The sequence below is a fragment of the Homo sapiens genome, chromosome 16, assembly GCF_000001405.40.
Source record: "Homo sapiens chromosome 16, GRCh38.p14 Primary Assembly".
In the NCBI taxonomy this organism is placed as follows: domain Eukaryota; kingdom Metazoa; phylum Chordata; class Mammalia; order Primates; family Hominidae; genus Homo; species Homo sapiens.
The window spans coordinates 88,105,555-88,125,053 of NC_000016.10; the positions used below are offsets into that span (position 1 = coordinate 88,105,555).

The 19,499-nt window shown below is 54.4% G+C and overlaps 1 protein-coding gene across 1 annotated transcript in view, besides 3 other annotated features; it reads left to right on the forward strand.

Annotated features, from left to right (window-relative positions):
• Positions 1-19,499, forward strand: part of ZNF469 (zinc finger protein 469) — a 339,823-nt gene that overhangs the window by 4,624 nt on the left and 315,700 nt on the right. The gene's annotated exons all lie outside the window — the stretch shown is intronic.
• Positions 7,693-8,194: an enhancer, noted in NCBI's record as "H3K4me1 hESC enhancer chr16:88146853-88147354 (GRCh37/hg19 assembly coordinates)". NCBI's record gives its function as "activates a minimal SCP1, AML or CMV promoter by ChIP-STARR-seq in naive H9 embryonic stem cells {active_cell/tissue: H9 hESC(naive)}" and the evidence as "EXISTENCE:reporter gene assay evidence [ECO:0000049][PMID:30033119]".
• Positions 8,195-8,694: an enhancer, noted in NCBI's record as "H3K4me1 hESC enhancer chr16:88147355-88147854 (GRCh37/hg19 assembly coordinates)". NCBI's record gives its function as "activates a minimal SCP1, AML or CMV promoter by ChIP-STARR-seq in naive H9 embryonic stem cells {active_cell/tissue: H9 hESC(naive)}" and the evidence as "EXISTENCE:reporter gene assay evidence [ECO:0000049][PMID:30033119]".
• Positions 11,137-12,336: an enhancer, noted in NCBI's record as "BRD4-independent group 4 enhancer chr16:88150297-88151496 (GRCh37/hg19 assembly coordinates)". NCBI's record gives its function as "activates an origin of replication core promoter dependent on BRD2, P300/CBP, MED14 and CDK7 cofactors, and independent of BRD4, by STARR-seq in HCT116 cells {active_cell/tissue: HCT116}" and the evidence as "EXISTENCE:reporter gene assay evidence [ECO:0000049][PMID:35650434]".

Consider the following 19,499-nt stretch of genomic DNA (forward strand, 5'->3'; position numbering starts at 1 on the left):
TCGGCCTCCCAAAGTGCTGGGATTATGGCGTGAGCCACCATGCTTGACTACATACAGCATTTTCAAAGGGCCCAGGGGGACACAGTGAACCCAGCAACCCCAGGCAGGATTAGCAAATAAGCATAATTGGGAACGGATGAAGAGCTGAAAGCCTGAGTGCTAAGTTGTAAAGACTCAGAAGCCCTGGTGGGAGCTCGGTAGTTGATTGATGATGTCTGCCATGACTGGGTAGGGGGATAACGGCACGTGTGCTACGTGGTGGCATCTGGTGCAGATTTGGTTGGGTGGGAAAAGTCCCTGGATTCCAGAAGTCAGGGTGGCCACACCCAGGAAGCAAGCACTCACACCACCTTGTGTGTGGACAGCAGGGCCTGGCTGGCCTGGCCCAGGAGGCTCCATCATGGTTGCAAGCTGCAGGCCAACTGGGTCTTGGCACGGGCCCAGTAAGCTGCTTTCAGGGAGTCTGTGAGGAGCTGCCTCCTGGGTCAGCCACCTCTGAGTAGCAGAGGATTTAAAAACCAGACCCCATTGCCCTGCCACACCTGCAACATCTGGCCCAGCACAGTGTGTGTCCTTCTTGGGTAGCCGGGTCCCTGCAGAGGGAGACAGTGTGGCGGGCGCCAGCAGGCCGTGCTCCAGCCTCCACCCGCGCCCCCACACCCTGGAGTCAGCGCACTGCAGAACTGTGACGGCCCCTCCTCTTCCTCCATGCCGCTCCTGCGCCCACCTCTCCCTGCTCGTGATTCACCTATGGGGCTCAGCACAGGGATTCCTGAAGGAATTTTTCTCCATCCGAGAGGCAGTACGATAATCTCCCACAGATGAGATTGGCTGTCTAGCAGAGGAGAACCCTGTCTACTCTTGTGTTCTAGAGCTTTCTTTTGGTGTCACCTTATTTATTTTTGCAACCTCCTGCCTAATTTTCTTTTGAAATGTTTTTTCACTTTAAAAACCGATTCAGAGGGCAAATGTGAACAGAGAAAGGAGTAGGCTGCCTGTGCCCACGTGTCTAGGCCAACCAGCGGCTTTTCTGCAATGCTGCACCCGGAGCAGCCCCCACTGTCTGTGGTCTTGGCAGACACTCCCTTGTTCATTTTGCACCACGTGAGCCAAGGCAGGTTGGGTGGGCCATGGCTGCTCTTGGTCCCAGCGATGGGCATTCAGGTGCAGGCTGGGGTGGGCGTGGATGCCTGCTGGCCACCAGCCTGGGATGCCATGGGACGGAGCTCAGCTCAGCCACCGCCTGCCATTGCCGCACAGGCCAGGAGGTGAATTGAGCTGAAGCCATCGCCCCCAGGCGGGAATCCCACTGTCTGCCTTCAGGAGGGGTGGCAGCAACGCCAGCCTCTCCAGGGTGATTTTCGGTAGAAACAGACCCCTCTAGATCCCAGAAACTGGGCCCTCACCATGGCCAGCTCAGCCTCATGGGGTGAAGAGCCATTGTAATATCCAAGTAACAGCAGCGAGGGTCACGAGTTCTGCCTTTGGGGCGTGCTGGCAGGCGGGCGGGGGTCTGCGTGCCTCGGCTCTCTCAGGCCCGCACGGGAGGTGCCGTGACTGTCCCAGGCTTCAGACAGGCTGACTCTGGCCAGCTGGAAAAGGCTCCCCAAATGCCCTGATCCCCAAAACCTGTGCTTGATGCCTGGATTAGCCCATTTTCACACTGCTATAAAGAACTGCCCAAGACCGGGTAATTTATAAAGGAAAGAGGTTTAATTGACTCACAGTTCAGCATGGCTGGGGAGGCCTCAGGAAACTGACAATCATGGCGGAAGGCGAAGAAGAAGCAAGAACCTTCTTCACAAGGCAGCAGGAAGGAGAAATGCAGAGCAAAGGTGGGAAGAGCCTCTTATAAAACCATCAGCTCTCACAAGAACTCACTCACTATCATGAGAACAGCATGGAGGAACTGCCCCGTGATTCAGTCACCGCCCCCTGGGCTCTCCCTCCACACGTGAGGATCATGGGGATTAAATTCGAGGTGAGATCTGCGTGGAGACACAGAAACTGACCATGCCACTGCCGTGCACAGCACTGCCTGTGGCTGAGGGTCACGAGGCAAGGTCTTCCCAGATGATCCAGCTGGGCCCAACATAATGGCAGGGTCCTTTTAAGGAAGAGGCAGAGGAAGATTCGGCCCACACAGAGGCAATGGCCCTGGGACATAGACGCGGAGGCAGAGATTACAGGGAAGCAGCCACAAGTCAGGGCACGCCTGGCTTGCAGACGCTGCAGAAGCAGGAAGGACCCTCAGGAGAGCACAGCACTGTAGCCCTTGGCTTTGTCCCCACAGGGCCCATGTTGGGCTCCGGCCTCCACACCACATTTTAAGGCCCTTGGTTTGTGATGTCATGGCAGCCCAGGCGCCTGGTAATGGCTGAGGGCTGAGGTGCCCTCCCATGCCCTGCACACAGGTCTCGCTGACCCCAGAGTCAACTCCTCCATGCGATCTGTATGTCATTTGGAGGTGGATGCAGGGTAGAGAAGAGAAGACTTTCTTGAGGATTTTTGTGCCCTTCTCTTTGAAGAAATAAGGACATTTGCACGTCTGTGGGGATGTGGGGATGGAGGTGCACGTCTGTGGGGATGTGGGGATGGGGGTCCACGTCTGTGGGGATGTGGGGATGGAGGTGCACATCTCTGGGGATCCCAGGACAGAGGTGCACGTCTGTGGGGATGCGGGGAGGGGGGTCCATGTCTGTGGGGATGTGGGGATGGAGGTGCACAGAGGACGCCTTCCAGTGAGCCCTGCACCGTCACACTGTGGCCCTGGCCATCCCTGTGGGACAGCGTGTCTGGGTCTGGCTGCTGGTGCAGCCCATCTCGATTCTGGACTGAGATTCAGTGGTCACACCCGACGTCTCCTGGGTGCAGGCAGAAGACAGGGCTCTGGGGTTGCTGCCCAGAATTCAATTGCTCTTTCCACCCTGAAGAATCAGGCTGTCAAGTTGCACAAACCTGGTGAAGGGGACTTCTGGGGGTGAGGATCTTTGGGGGTTGAGTTGCTGATGTCCTAGGATCTTCTCCCCACCTCTGTTTCCCCAGAGAACTCTCGGCTCAAGGGTCCCCACTTCAGTGTGACTTCCCTGAAAGCAGGTGGTGGTGACGCTGTAGGGTGTTGGCCTCCTTTCCTGGCCTCACCCTCTTTCAGGGCCTTGCCCACTGTATGGGGGGCCACGCATGTGTTTGCTGAGGCTAGGTCATCATGGGCACCAATAGCTTCTTGCCCTCACTCCCCAAGACCTCCTGCTCCAGGGGAGTCCAGTGCCATGTGCCAGCAGCTCTGTGGGGAGGCTCAACAGGGGAGTGCTGAGGCCTCGGGCCACCAGCCCCGGTCGGGACTTCAGATGACTCCAGCAAAGACATCTCGACGGCAGCCTCATGAGTGAGCCTGTGCCACAGCTGCCCAGCCAAGTCACGCCACATTCATGACCCAGAGAAACCAAGATAATCAATGACTGTTGTGCTTTTTAGCCACCAAGTTCAGAGGTGACTTGTTACGCAAAAGCAGAGAACAAATGCGCCAGCTGCCAGGGTTGTCGACGGCTCATAGCTGGGTCCCTCTGGAAATGGCTGCCGTGTCACCCCACGTAATGCCTTCTCCTGGGAGCAGCTGCATGGAAAGACTGGTCCTCATGTTTCCATTCAGGACACCCACAGAGGGTCTCTCTTCTTTGTGGGTGAGGCCCCAACAGTGAGACCTCAACAGTGAGACAGCTGAGGCCTCTGCTGCAACCACATTGCAGCCCAGTGGCTCCCCCTGTCCAGGCCCACTTTCCACACCCCTGCAGGTGTTGCTCCAAGGAGCCTCTGCACCTCCTCCCAGACTCAGATCTGTTTCCTGGGACCCAGGCATGAGGCTTCTCCCCGGCAGCCTCCGATGTCACGTGGATCAGGCAAAGCTGGGCATCTGTGTCCACGCTGTCTCCTCTCCAGGATCAGGAGGTGCTGAGCGTCTGTGTCCACGCTGTCTCCTCCCTGGGATCAGGAGGTGCTGAGCATCTGTGTCCACGCTGTCTCCTCTCCAGGATCAGGAGGTGCTGAGCATCTGTGTCCACGCTGTCTCCTCTCCAGGATCAGGAGGTGCTGAGCGTCTGTGTCCACGCTGTCTCCTCTCCGGGATCAGGAGGTGCTGAGCGTCTGTGTCCACGCTGTCTCCTCTCCGGGATCAGGAGGTGCTGAGCGTCTGTGTCCACGCTGTCTCCTCTCCGGGATCAGGAGGTGCTGTGCGTCTGTGTCCACGCTGTCTCTTCTCCGGGATCAGGAGGTGCTGAGCGTCTGTGTCCACGCTGTCTCCTCCCTGGGATCAGGGGCTTTGCCAGCTTGCTCACCTTTGGCCCCTGGGCACATGATGGACTCTTACCAAATGTTAGTTGAGTAAATGTGAGTGGGTGGCACAGGAGGAGTCAGGCTAGGTGGCCATCTGTGTGGGAGATTCGAGAAAACTCTTCCTGCAAACAGCCTCCCAGAAACTAGCACCAGAATGCCTGGGCCTCACCATTGGTGACTCCTTTTTCCCTCACTCCTCACATATAGAATGCAAATACTATGAGGAAGACAAAGACATGAAATCATTAACACTTCTTCAGAGTCACACACACGTCCAGCTGCCCCTCCCCAAATCACCCAGGCCGAGGCCGCCCCACCCCAGTACCCGTCAGAACCCCCTGGAGGGTGAGTTCAGACCCCCGGGGGGCCGCCTCCTGGGCTTCTGATTCAGGAGGCTGGGGCGGGCCCTGAGGCTCCACATTGCTGACAAGTTGCAGGTGGTCCGCTGCCAGTCCGCTTGGAGAATTCTGCTCCCGCTCACGCCGGACTGAACTGGCTGCTGCCCAGCCTACCACGGTCTCCGTCCGTCTTCTCTGGCAGGGGCTGGCTCTCCCAGGTGTCGCTGAGTGCCTGGTTGTTCCAATTCAGTTTGCTTACAGTGTCTGTGAGTAATGTCCAAGGCTCCCCTCCTGCTCCTCCACACCCACATGGCGTGAGCAGCTTCCCCAGCCCTGGTGCAGCCTCCTGACTTCAGGCCCGTCTCTGCCTCAGTGTGAACTGTATCGGAGAGATGTCCTCCCAGCGTGGGCTGCTGTCCTGCGGGTGAGAATCATAACGTGGTCATTCAGAACCACTCGTCTTAAAGTGTCTTCTCTAGACAAAAAATGCCTTTTCCATCGAAGGTGGGGAGGGGAGAAAAATGGCCTCCAACCCAGGGAGTGCTGTGCGGGTTGGGCAGGTGCTTGTGGGCTCTAACAAATGGATTTCCACGAGGGGCCCAGGGCAGCAGGTGCAGCTCAGCCGGGTGTAGCCTCGCTGGAGAAATGCGTCTGCAGCCGGGCTCTGTGGGGCCTCGGGACAGGCACTGGGAAACCTGAGAAACTGCAGACCCGGGCCAGCAATGGCACAGTGTCCGTGGCAGGGAAGCTCAGGCCCCCTTCACAGATGAAGACGCTGCGGCCCAGACGGGCACTCGTGGCGCTTGCAGTCAGTGTCGAAGGCCCCTTGCTTTTCTTCAGCCCCCAGGCACCTGGGCCGGTGCGACTTCCCAAACCCCACTGTCAGGGCCCCTCCCGCACCGCCCCATGTCAAACCATTTCCTGCAGCGATGGGGCTGTGACGCCACTGCCGAAGAGGCCAGCGTGAGGAAGGCCTTTTGAACTAAAACCACTCCCCGCAGTGGCCAGTCTGCAATGGGCTGTTTTTCTAAAGACTTTTTTTTGTGGGTACGTCGTAGATGTATATATTCATGGGGTACATGAGATGTTTTGACACAAGCATGCAAGGTGTAACAATCACATCAGAGAGAATGGGGTCTCCATCCCCTCAAGCATTTATCCTTTCTGTTACAAACAAGCCAGTGATTTTATTTTAGTTATTTTAAGATGTACAACAAATTATTGTTGACTGTGCTCACCCTGTTGTACTATCAAATAATAGGTCTTATGCATTTCTTCTGTCTTTTTGTACCCATTAACATCCCCCCCACTTCCCTTCCCAGCCTGTGGTAACCCTCCTTCCACTCTCTATATCCATGAGTTCAATCGTTTTGATTTTTAGCTCCCACGAATAAGTGAAGACGTGTTTTTGTTTGTTTTGTTTGTTTGTTTGTTGAGATGGAGTCTCGCTCTGTCACCAGGCTGGAGTGCAGTGGTGCCATCTCAGCTCACTGCAACCTCCGACTCCCGGGTTCAAGCGATCCTCCTGCTTCAGCCTCCTGTGTAGCTGAGACTACAGGTGCCCACCATCACACCCAGCTAATTTCTGTATTTTTAGTAGAGATGGGGTTTCACCATGTTGGCCAGGCTGGTCTCGATCTACTGACCTTGTGATCCGCCTGCCTTGGCCTCCCAAAGTGCTGGGATTACAGGTGTGAGCCACCGCGCCCGGCCAAAAACGTGTTGTTTTTCTTTCCATCCCTTGATTATTTCACTTAATGACCTCCAGTTCCATCCGCGTTGTTCCAATGACAGGATCTCGTTCTTTTTTGTGGCTGAATAGTACTACGTTGTGTACGTGTCACATTTTCTTTATCTGTTTGTCTATTGATAGGCACTTAGGTTGCTTCCAAATCTTGATACTGTGAACAGTGCTGCAGTAAACACAGGCGTGCCGGCCAGGCGCGTTGGCTAACGCCTGAATCCCAGCACTTCGGGAGGCTGAGGTGGGTGGATCCCTTGAGGTCAGGAGTTCCAGTAAACACAGGACTGCAGACATCTCTTTGATAGATGGATTCCTTTCTTTTGGGTCTATACCAAGCAGTGGTATTGCTGGATCCTATGGTAGCTCAATTTGTAGCTTTTTGAGGAACCGCCAAACTGTTCTCCACAGCGGCTGTATTAATTTACATTCCCACCAACGGGGTACGAGGGTTCCCTTTTCCCACATCCTTGCGAGCATTTGTGATTGTCTGTTTTTTGGATAAAGGCCATTTTAACCGGGGTGAGGTGATGTCTCATGGTAGCTTTGAGTTGCATTTCTCTGACGATCAATGATGCTGAGCTCCTCTTCAGATGCCTGTTGGCCATTTGTGTGTCTCCTTTGAGAAACGTCTATTCAGATCTTTTGCCCATTTTTACTCAGATGATTAGATTCTTTCCTATAGAGTTGTTTGAGCTCATTATATGTTCTGGTTATGAATCCCTTGTCAGATGAGTAGTCTGAAAATATTTCCTCCCATTCTGTGGGGTGTCTCTTCACTCTGGATTGCTCTCTCTGCTGTGCAGAAGCTTTTTTTTTTTTTTTTTTTTTTTGAGATGGAGTCTTGCTCTGTTGCCCAGGCTGGAGTGCAGTGGCACGATCTCAGCTCACTGCAAGCTCTGCCTCCCGGGTTTGCGCTATTCTCCTGCCTCGGCCTCCCCAGTAGCTGGGACTACAGGTGCCCGCCACCACGCCTGGCTAATTTTTTTGCATTTTTAGTAGAGACGGGGTTTCACCGTGTTAGCCAGGATGGTCTCGATCTCCTGACCTCGTGATCCACCCGCCTTGGCCTCCCAAAGTGCTGGGATTACAGGTGTGAGCCACCGCGCCTGGCCTGCTGTGCAGAAGCTTTTTAGCTCGAGGTGGCCCCATTTGCCTGTGTTTGCCTTGGTTGCCTGTGCGTGGGGGCATTGCTTGAGAAATGTTTGCCCAGGTCAATGTCCTGGAGATTGTCCCCAGTGTTTTCTTGTAGTAGTTTCATCATTGGAGGTCTTGGATTCCAGACTTTAATCCATTTTGGCTTGATGTTTGTATGTGGCGAGAGCTAGGGGTCTCGTTTCACTCTTCTGCAGATGTGTAGCCAGTTTTCCCAGCACCGTTTATGGAAGAGACTGTCCTTTCCCCAGGGTATGTTCTTGCCACCTTTGTTGAAATTGAGTTCACTGTAGGTGCGTGGGTAATGGGCGGCTCTTCCAGCTGGTGAGTTGCCATGGCTTCTGGCGCTTTGACACCTGGTGACAGGAGAGCCTGCTGAGCAGGGATCCAGCCCTGTGGACGCAGGACGTGAGGACCTGTGGCTGAAGCCCGGCTCGGGGAGGAACAGTTTACCTCCAGCCCTGGGGAAGGCCATGCTTTTTGGGTCTCAGTTACCTCCGCAGACTGTGGTGAAGGCACAAAGGCTCTCGCAGCTGAAGGGCCTATCGTAGGTCAGGTCTGGCCTGTCTTAAACGGGTAACAAGTGGCCCCTCTGGGACAGGCGGTGCAGGGCCCCAGCTGTGAGGCGTGCGTCCCTTCTTCTTAATTTCACCGACACGGCTGGTTTGACACCCCCCGGTGCAGGCTGCAGGGAGATCAGATACACATGCAGCCTCTTGCTTTGGAAAGCTCACCGTGTGGTCTAGTGCGTGGAGAAGCTCCCAGGTGTGAGGAAAGTTCTTGCCGCACTGAGAGTGCTGTGGGACTGGACACCTGGCTCCTGCCAGGGCCGCACTGGGCAGGGCTGTGGGCCGTGCGATGGGAGGTCCTGTGGTCCCATGATGTCCGGCGAGCACCATGGGTGGCTAAGGAAGGGTCTCCCCCACCCCACAGCCAGTCCTGTCCCCCACCCCCAGCTTCATGGCCTTTGCAAGTCCCTCCACCTCTCTGTGCCCAAGTTTGCCCACCTGTGAATGGGGAGAACGGTAAGGGCCACACTCCCTGACTGCGGGGGTCTCGGGGGAGAATGACAGGGACCATACTCACTCACTGCGGGGGTCTCCGGGGAGAATGACAGGGACCACACTCACTCACTGCGGGTGTCTCCGGGGAGAATGACAGGGACCACATTCACTCACTGCGGGGGTCTTCGGGGGGAATGACAGGGACCACACTCACTGACTGCGGGGGTCTCAGGGGAGAATGACAGGGACCACACTCACTCACTGTGGGGGTCTCTGGGGTGGGGAATGACAGGGACCACACTCACTGCGGGGGTCTCCGGGGAGAATGACAGGGACCACACTCACTGACTGCGGGGGTCTCCGGGTTGGGGAATGACAGGGACCACACTCACTGCGGAGTCTGAGGTGAGATTGGATCAGGGAACGCGCGGTGCCCAGCTGACTTCCCAGGCCATGAGCTGGGGTAGACGGAGCCGTGGTTCTGGTACTGCATTCTCCTCCGTGCCTCCAGCTTCTGCAAGTGTTGCCCTGGGCGTCTGGGACCCTGTCTGAGCCTCTCTGCAGCCTGGTGAAGGCGGGCCTGGCCCCCAGATGCAGCTGTGTGTGCGGTGAGTCGGCTTGCTGGGCCCACAGAGGGGCAGGGAGCTCAGAGGGGCTGTTGGGGAAGAGGTGCCTCCCCTTCTCCACCTACAAGCCCAGCAAACCTGGTTCCTTGTGGCTGCCGCACTGAGAATTCTTGGACACCATTGCTTTGGGAGGAAGTGGGCACTGGAAACAGGCCAGGGCGAAAATGTCTTCTCAGTCTGTAAAAAATTTCAGCCGCCTTTCTCTTGCTGTGGCCTCTCATGGAGACGATGCTTCTGGGGCCGGGGAAGCAGAACCCAGAGGTGACTTAAAAAACAACCACCAACCCTCCAGGTCGCAGGGCAGTGAACGGTGGCTCCGCAGGGAAACGCAGGTGGTTCTGCCCCTGCCCAGCCTGTCTTAACCATGCTGCCTGGTCTGTGCCGGGCTCTGCGCATTCAGGGTGTGATTCCATTTAATTAAACTTAAACTAAACCTTAGTGCACAAAGGGGAAACGTGGCAGGAAGCACACCAAAAACAGCCACTGTGTTTATTTTCAAGGGGCTGGATTATTTTATGCATTGCTGCCATTTCTGATCTGCAATAGATATATATTATTTTCATAATCAGAAAAACACATTATAAAAAGCTTTAGGAAGACAAGTACATGTGTGACGCTCATATGTCCCGGCTGATCAGCCAAGGTTGCTCCTCTGGAGAAGCTCGGGGGTCACCGCCGTGCACCCCTCCAGCTCATGTCAGCCTTGCACAGTGCACATGACCCGGTCCCCTCCCGCTTTCCCTCCTGAGTTGACCCTGGTTTATCTGGGATGGCCATGGGCTCCGCTAAAAATATGCACCGTCCAGGACGGTGGTGTGGAAAGAGAAAGGTGCCAGGGCCCTGTGTGTTCCTGGACTTCCTAACTCTAGTTCTGGAGACCAGAAGGGAAATCAAGAGGCCCGCCGAGCCGTACTCCCTCTGGAGGCTCTGGGCCCTTCCATCTGTACTCCCTCTGGGGGCTCTGGGTCCTTCCAGCCGTACTCCTTCTGGGGGCTCTGGGTCCTTCCAGCCATACTCCCTCCGGAGGCTCTGGGTCCTTCTAGCTGTATTCCTTCCAGAGGCTCTGGGCCCTTCCAGCCTCTCCCAGCTCCTGGGCACTCCAGGTATTCCTGGGCTTGTGGCCACATTGCTCTCATCTCTGCCTTTATCCTCATGTGGTCTCTTCGTCTTTGGGGGCAAACCCTGCCCCGCCCATCTCCCTCGTGTAAGGATACCTGGTCATCCAGGGTGGCCTCCCCATCTCAGGTGAAAAGTGTGCGCTCTGGGAAAGGCTCTTTGATGAGGATGGAAAGAGAAACTGCAGAGCGGGGAAAGTATTCACTAACACACATGCCCGACTAGAGCCCTGGGGTCCAGACTGTATAGAGAACTCTCAAAACTCAACCGTGAAAAAACAAGCCGATGTGAGAATGGGCAAGATGTGGGGGGTGCTCTTCCATGAAGAGGATGCAGACGGCCAATCAGGGCATGGCAGGTGCTCCTTGCCAGCAGCTGTCGGGAAACGCACTGAGACCACAGGCAGGGATTGCCACACCCCCATGAGGACGGCCAGCACAGAACCGGTGATGTTGCGGTGTAGACACAGGGCCTGGACCTCCAGAACCAGCGATGCCGCAATGCCGCAGTGTAGACACAGGACCTGGACCTCCATTGCTGGCAGGAATGCAAATGGCATGGCCACTGTAAACACCAGCTTGACAGTTTCACCCAAAAGTAAACACCCGACTAATGTACAACCCCACAATGACACTCTTGGGGCGTTTATTCCAAAGAAATGAAGACGTATCTTCATGCCAAAAACCGTGCAGCTGCATTTGTAACAGGCAGAACGTGGAGACAACCCAAGCGTCCTTCAGTGGACACACGAATGGCCACACCACGGAACGCTACTCAGCCGTGAAAACAAACAGACCAGCTGCACACAGCAACTTGGACCATCTCCAGAGAATTCTGCCGAGTGGGAAAAGCCGACCTCAAAAAGCCTGTACATGCCATGACGCTGTTTATGGAACTGGCGTCATCAAACCAGAGACTGAGAACAGGTTGGTGGTTTGCCAGGGCTGGGGACTGTGGGTCGGGGGAGTAGGGGCCGCAGGGGGGCAGCTGGAGGCAGCCTGTGATGAGGGGAATGGTTAGTGCTTTGGTGGTGGTGGCAGTTACACGAATCTACACGTGTGATAAAATGTCCTTGCCTGAAGTGCATGCGTGCACACACACACACACACACACACACACACACACACACCAGGGCATGCAGAGCTACGAGAATCTGAACCGGCCCTGTGGGTCATGCCAGGCTGATGGCTTGGCGTGCTGCTGTGTTGGCACGCCTGATGCTCTGAAGGGTGTGGCTGGGTGGGAGTGAGAGTCAGGGATGCGTGAGGGCCAGGGATATGTGAGAGCTGGGGACGTGTGAGAACTGGGGGCATGTGAGGGCCGGGGATGTGTGAGGGCCGGGGACACGTGAGAGCTGGGGTCGTGTGAGAGCTGGGGACGTGTGAGAGCCGGGGACGTGTGAGAGCTGGGGGCATGTGAGGGCTGGGGATGCGTGAGAGCCAGGACAGATGCGTGTGGCTCTCTCTGCCTTTCTCTGCAATTTCCTGTGCATCTATAATTGTTTCAAAAATAAAAGTTTTTTTACAAAAAGAAAAAAATGAAGAAAAAATCACTGCAAATTCCTGTTTTGTCCCTTTGATCTTTTTTTACTTGGAGAGACAATTCAGGTCTCTGAATACTCAGCCACTGACTGCCTAGAAGACCCTGGGGAGGGCTGGGCCTCTGAGACTCAGGCCAGTTTATACCTGTGGAAGTGTCACGTGCCTTCACGGACCGTGGAGGTGCCACGTGCCTTCGGGGACCGTGGAGGTGCCACGTGTCTTCATGGACCGTGGGAAAGTGCCACGTGTCTTCACAAACCGTGGAGGTGCCACGTGTCTTCGGGGACCGTGGAAGAGGGGCTTTTCCTGGGGAAGGGCTTGATGCTGCCGCACTGTTGCTGGGACCCAGTTTCTTGGAGCCCCGGTCGTGTGCAAGTGACCTGGGAGGTGGACCTGTCGGAGTGACTGTGAGGGAAGCTGTGTGAAGGTGGGAGGCCGCCGTGTCGTCAGAGGCAGCTATGGCAAAGGGAGGCTCCACACACTGCGCCCGTCAGCAGAGCAGGAGGAGGAGCACGAGGGGAGGCGCCATACTGTGATTTTATTTCTTTGTTTTTTTGAGACGGAGTCTCGCTCTGTCGCCCAGGCTGGAGTGCAGTGGCACGATCTCATCTCACCGCAACCTCCGCCTCCTGGATTCACACCATTCCCCTGACTCAGCCTCCCCAGTAGCTGGGACTACAGGCTCCCGCCACCACACCTGGCTAATTTTTGTATTTTTAGTAGAGACGGGGTTTTGCCATGTTGGCCAGGCTGCTCTCAAACTCCTGACCTCAGGTGATCTGCCCGTCTCAGCCTCCCAAAGTGCTGGGATTACAGGCGTGAACCACTGCACCCGGCTCCTATCTTTTCATTGAAATCTTGCCTCGCAGCTTTTAAAGACTGTACATTTCTTCTAAGTTCTTTTTAGAATTCTTCGCAGTGTTCTGGTGGAGCCTTTTGAGTTTTTTCACGGGCTCTCCATAGCCCCACCCTGAGGACGGGAGCCCTTTGGATGGGGCCGGTGTCAGCAAAGGAGGCACAAGAGTCTCAGCTGCTCGACCTGGTCCTGCCCGCCGTGGGCCCAGAGAACCGTGGGAGCAATGTCTACCATTTGGGCTGACTCTCTGCTTTCTGTGTCAGCTCACCTGTCACCTCCGCCTCTGCAGAAGGAGGGTGATGGCGCGCAGGGGTCAGGCACACCCCGGGTGCTCCTGGAGTCTCATCTTCCTGTTTTCTTCCCTTCAGAGTGCGCTGATCCAGGCTCAGATTCCCGACTCTACGGCTTCCTTAGCAGAGGGGCCCTGTTGTCAAAGGACTGCTTTTAAAAGAAGATACAATTCTGACTCACAAATACAGAATACATACATGTCAAAGACTTTATTTAACTCATTAACTAATGCAGGCACCAGTAAGATGTTTCCGGCATTTGGGAGAGAATTCAGAGAACCACACGGATAAGCAATAGAGAATGCTGAGATGAGTTTACAAATAGATGCCGAGCTGCTTTATCCCCAGGTGGTCATCGGCTGCATTCCACGGAGATGCAGTTCACTTGTGTTTCCACTGCTCTCACTTTTCTAGGATTTACAAAGTTGTAAAATAGCCCCAAGACAATGAGAGGCAGGGCGCTAGGCAGGAACTGAGTCACTGTTTGTTTTTGCTCGTTTCAAAGTCTTTTGCAATTTTCCCTGACAACTCGTAACTCTTGGGCTTGTTTTGCCATCTGTGGAATGAAAATAACGTTTGTCCAGTCCTTGAGGAGTTGTGAGCTTGAAAAGAAAGATAGTAAGTGAAGAAATGTCTTCTACAAGCTTCTTTGTATCAGCCGAGGCGGTCTCACGGTTAGCTCTGGGCACCCTGGGAAGCGGGTCTGAAATTCACTATTTCATGATCTCCTACAGGTTTATCTCCCTCCCTCGCTTCATCCCCGCACTCTTCCTTAAAGCCACATCCCTCAGTGCAGAAGCCTGGCCGTCCGCAGCCTGTGGTGCACGTGCGGGGCCCATCTGTGCCGGGTGTTTGTCATTATTAAGTGACCCTGATGAGAATAACCTTGCACGGCTGGGAGCAACTCAGCATTCTTCTTGGTCACCAATTTTCCTTCCAAGCCAATTGCTCAAAGCAACCAAATACCAAAGTTTTCGTCAGAATGCCTCGCTCCACATGCACTGATGAACAACACCTGCTCCTGGGTCACGGGGCCGGCAGCCTGGATGTGTTTTACGCAGAGGATGGGGTGGAGACACAGGTGCCGGAAGCTTTTCCCTACCGGGTCCAGCCGTTTGGGTGGATGCTGGCCGGCCCAGCTCTGGATGTGTGGGACTGGGCTGTTCCCAGGTGGCTGCCTCTCCTGGTTCTCCGCTGGGAAGTCAACGGCAGACTGATAAGGTTTTGCCCAGCTCCCTGAAGCCTGGTCTTGGTTAACTGGGAGCGTGTCGTAGGGAGTGGGGTTAGGGAAGAGATGGGGACATCTGGTTTTTGTCCTGCCCACTGCTTGGGACAGGATGGTTCAGTCAGACCACATTTGCAAAGCGAGAGCCGTCTGTGGAGTCCTGGCCCGTGGGGTCCTGGTGTTGGGTCTCTCTGCCGCCGCCGTGCGTGCTGTGAGGGGAGCACTGTCTTCTGAGAATGGGATGGGGAACCACACACAACCAAGGGGCCCCCAAGTCCGCCTGGGAGGGTGGAGGCTGCACCGGGTAGAGTGTGCTGAGGCCAGGGTGGGTGGACGTGTCCCGTGGAGGGGGAGGCATCGCCCCTGAGCCATTCTCCAGCTTCCCGGCTTCCAGGGAGCGCAGAACTGCCCCGTGGTTGCCGAGGAGGAGAGCAATCTTCAGGGGCAGCCCTGGGCCCAGGGGAGCCACTGCCTGCCTCAGCAGAGCCTCGTGACACTTGCTTTCTCTGGGGTCCTTGCAGGAGGCCCAGGCCCCTGCCTTCTGCTGCATGTGTGTGTTACAGAAATGGCAGATGATAAACTAATTCCTCCATCGGAGCTTGGTGCTCATTTCCCGGAGTGATGTCATCGGGCCGGCGGGACGCATTAGCCAGAGGGCTGGGAAACAGCGGAGATGGCGCGCCCCACCTCGGAGAACACAGGCAGCTGGAGGACGTGGGTGGTGTTACTGTGACGGTCACCTGGACTGGGCAGTTGCAGGCGGCCGGATGCTGGACCCGCAGCGTGAGCTCCACGGCCGCAGCAGGGAGGCGAGAGCCCTCAACCAGGGACGGAGCCGCCCTGTCCACGGAGCATGCAGACCCACCAGAACGCCTGGGTCACCGCGGCTCCCGGGCGGGCCTCACTGCACCGGGACACGTCAGGACACGTGGCAGCTCCCAGCACGGTGGAAGGCCTGAGCCCCGGGAACACTGGCTGGAAAATGGAACTCGGAGGACAGAGCTTGTCGACGGCGTCTCGTATGAATCCCGGAGGAGACGCCCGTGTCGAGGGCAGTTAGAATCCAGGTGTGAGCCCCGGCTGGCTGCGTCCACTGGAGCCGCCTGACCTCACCCGAGGGTGGGAGGCCGTGTGGTTTCTTGGTCCTCAGCCATGCGGCGTTTCTTGGCCGCAGGCGTTGGGTGAGGTTCTAGAAAGGCCTCACCATAGGTGTGGGGTGTTTTGCACCCTCTCCTTCACTGGGATGGCACGAGGCACCCGCTATGTACTGTGCACAGTGGGGTGGGGTGCTGGTGGGTGCTGCATGAGGCACCTGCTGTGTACCATGCACGGTGGGATGGGGGGTCGGGAGGGGGGCGCTGCATGAGGCACCCGCTATGTACCATGCATTGTGGGGTGGGGGTTGGGGGGGTGTTGCACTTGGCACCCACTGTGTACCATGCATGGTGAAGGGGGGGAGGTTGGGGGGTGGGGGCGCTGTACTTGGTGCTCTCCTTACACTGACTTTGGTCCTTGTCCAAACCCTCCGAGGAGTTCACCCTATTATTAAAACTCGAAACAAAAACCAACCAAACATAAAAACATAGAGTTAAAGAGAGAAACTAAGCCGCTGTCGCCAGCGCTGTGTCATGAGCCGAACATTTCAGTATCGATTCTGGCCATCGGAGGGGCTGGCTCAGTGAACTTCCAGAATGAAACGTTCGCAAAGAAACAAAATTGACCTTGAAGAGAGCTCAGCCTTGGCCAGATGGGCCCTTGAAGTCTGGCTGTCACGTCACAACCCCGGCTCACAGGCTGAAATCCGGCCCTGGGCCACTGTGAGAGTTGAGTAGGCAAAATTCCATACATATTTAAGCTTATCTATAATTTATTCCAATGACCTAAGGAATCATATATCATTTTGTCTGTTGTTCAGTGACTTTTAAGCCCTGCCTTCCTAATCCTAAATTGGCCAGGAGGTTGCAGGCCGCACTGCAGAGTTCTGATATAACTGTGCAAATACTCGCCCACTAGGTCCTGGGTTTGCTGAAGTTTACTGTTTATGATTAGGAATTTATTTGTCAAAATACGCTTCTTTTTTACTCACTGGCCACTAGAACAGAGGCTCGTGGTAACGCGTACAGAGATGGTGCGTCCCTGTCCTCTCATCAAAGTGATTCCTCTTCCTTTTGCCAAACTTCCACAGAAGCCAAATAAACAGTGTAGACACTCCGTCACTCGCTACGGCCACGGCGGCCACTCGGATCACACTCTGTCACTCACTACGGCCACGGCGGCCACTCTGATCGCACCCTGTCACTTGCTGCGGCCTCGGCAGCCCCTCGGATCACACTCTGTCACTCACTGTGGCCACAGTGGCCACTCAGATCACACCCCGTCACTCGGTATGGCCACGGCAACCACTCGGATTGCATCCCGTCACTCAATAGGGCCACGGCAGCCACTGTGATCGCAACCTGTCACTCGCTACAGCCACGGCAGCCACTCTGATCACACCCCATCACTTGCTACGGCCACGATGGCCCCTTGGATCACACTCTGTCACTTGGTGTGGCCACGGCAGCCACTCGGATCACACTCCATCACCCACTATGGCCACAGCAGTCACTCAGATCACATCCCGTCACTCACTACAGCCATGGCGGCCACTCGGATCACACTCCGTCACTCGCTACGGCCACGGCAGCCACTCTGATCACATTCCCGTCACTCGCTATGGCCACGGCGGCCACTCAGATCACACTCTGTCACTTGCTATGGCCACGGCAGCCACTCAGATGGCACTCTGTCACTCACTACGGCCACGGCAGCCACTTGGATAGTTGGTCAATAAAATAAGAAGGTCAAGCATTTACCCTGTGTGAGCCGGCAACCTCCAAAAGGCAAACACAGTCAGTTTGGTCAGGAGCTGGAGGATTTGTACACATATTTGTATGCTTTAGTCTGCCACAGTTTTATGTGTGTGTACATAAATATACTTTAGGTATATATTCTTAGCTCTGTGTGTATATATATGTGTATATATATGTATATATATGCTTAACTCTGTGTATATATGTGTGTGTGTGTATAAATATATATTTTAGAGATGGCGTCTCACTCTGTCCCCCAGGCTGGAGTGCAGTGGTGCAATCATAGCTTACTACAGCCTTGTCCTCCTGGGTTCAAGTGATCCTCCAGAATAGCTGGGACTACAGGTGCCCGCCATTGGGTCCAGCTGCAATTGTTATATTTTTGATACTCAGATTGCCTCTTTGTTGGCTATCACTTTTATTTATTTATTTTTGCTAAATGATTTTAGTGGTTTGAATGGCATATGCTGGCGAGTATGGACACATTTTTGCACTCACATAGCCAGCACCATCCCGAGACTACCCATCACCTGGAAAGGCCCTGCTCCACCCCTTGTATGCCCCAACCCGTCTGCTTTCCCTTGCTTGGATGAGACGGTTTTCCAGGGTTTCGTGTCCATGGAGTCGGGCAGCATGCACTGGCTGTGTGTCTGTTCTTTCACCCAGCGGAGCATCGAGGTTTATCCATGCAGTGTTGCCTCTCAGAAGGTCATTCCTTTTATTGTTGAGCAGTGCTTCATTTTTGGATATACTGCGGTTTGTTTGCATGTGCACCTGTCGATGAAGATTTGGGCTGTTTTCAATTTTGGGCTGTTGTTAGGAATAAACTGCCGTGGATGAAGATTTGGGCTGTTTTTAATTTTGGGCTGTTGTTAGGAATAAACTGCCGTGGATATTAACAGCAAGTCTTGGTGTGTGCCTGGGTTTTCATTTCTCTTGGGTGAGGGCCTAGGAGGATAATTGCGGGGCCACGTGGTGAGTATATGTGTGACTTTATCAGCAGCGCCAAACCCTTGCCAAAGGGGTCGTCCCCCCCAGTAGATGTAGGGATGGGTTGCGTATTATAATTTTATTTTTTATTTTTCTAGTTTTTTCATTTTCTAGTGACTAATGATTTTGAGAATCTTTTCCTATACCTCTTTGCAATCTGTGATGAAGTGTCTATTCAGATATTTGACTCTTTTTTAAATTTTGAGATGGAGTTTCACTCTTGTTGCCCAGGCTGGAGTGCAATGGAGCAGTGTCGGCTAACTGCAAACTCCGTCTCCCAGGTTCAAGCGATTCTCCTGTCTCAGCCTCCCAAGTAGCTGGGATTACAGGCATGTGCCACCACGCCCAGCTAATTTTCTATTTTTAGTAGAGACGGGGTTTCTCCATCTTGGTCAGGCTGGTCTCGAACTCCTGAACTCAGGTGAACCAGCTGCCTCGGCCTCCCAAAGTGCTGGGATCACAGGCATGAGCCAACGCACCCAGCCAGTTTCACTCATTTTTATGGGGATGTTTGTGTTGAGTTTCAAAAGCTTTTGATTGTGGTCTGGATGCAAGTCCTTTATCAGGTATCTGTTTGACCAGAATTTTCTCCCAGTCTGTGACTTGTTTTTTATTTTTATTTTATTTATTTTTTGAGACAAAGTCTCACTCTGTCACCCAGGCTGGAGTGCAGTGGTGCAATCATGGCTCACTGCAGCCTCCACCTTCTGGGCTCCTCCCACCTCAGCCTCCTGAGTAGCTGGGACTTCAGGCACATGCCATCACACCCTGCTAATTTTTGTATTTTTTGTGGAGACAGGGCCTCACCATGTTGCCCATGCTGGTTTTGAACCAGGCTCAAGCAATCCACCAGCCTCAACTTCCCAAAGTGCTGGGATCACAGGCATGAGCCACCATGCCCAGGCTGATTTCCTTTTTAATTTCTTAATCATGTGTTTGGAATAATAGAAGTGTTTTCTGTTTGTTTGTTTTTGGTTTTTTTTTGAGATGGAGTTTTGCTCTTGTTGCCCAGGCTGGAGTGCAATGGCACGATCTAGGCTCACTGCAACCTCTGCCTCCCGGGTTCAAGCGATTCTCCTGCCTCAGTCTCCCGAGTAGGTGGGATTACAGGCATGCACCACCACACCTGGCTAATTTTGTATTTTTAGTAGAGACGGGGTTTCTCCATATTGGCCAGGTTGGTCTTGATCTCCCGACCTCAGGTGATCCACCCGTCTCAGTGTTCCAAAGTGCTGGGATTACAGGCGTGAGCCACTGCGCCCGGCCAAGAATAGAAGTTTTCGATGTTTAATTTATCAGTCTTTTTAAAATACTTTTTGTGTCCTATCCAAAAAAATTTGTCTATCTCAGGGTCATGAATAATTTTTCCTATGTTTTCTTCCAGAAGTTTTCTAGATTAAGCTTTTATAATTAGATCTATGCTCCATTTCAAGATA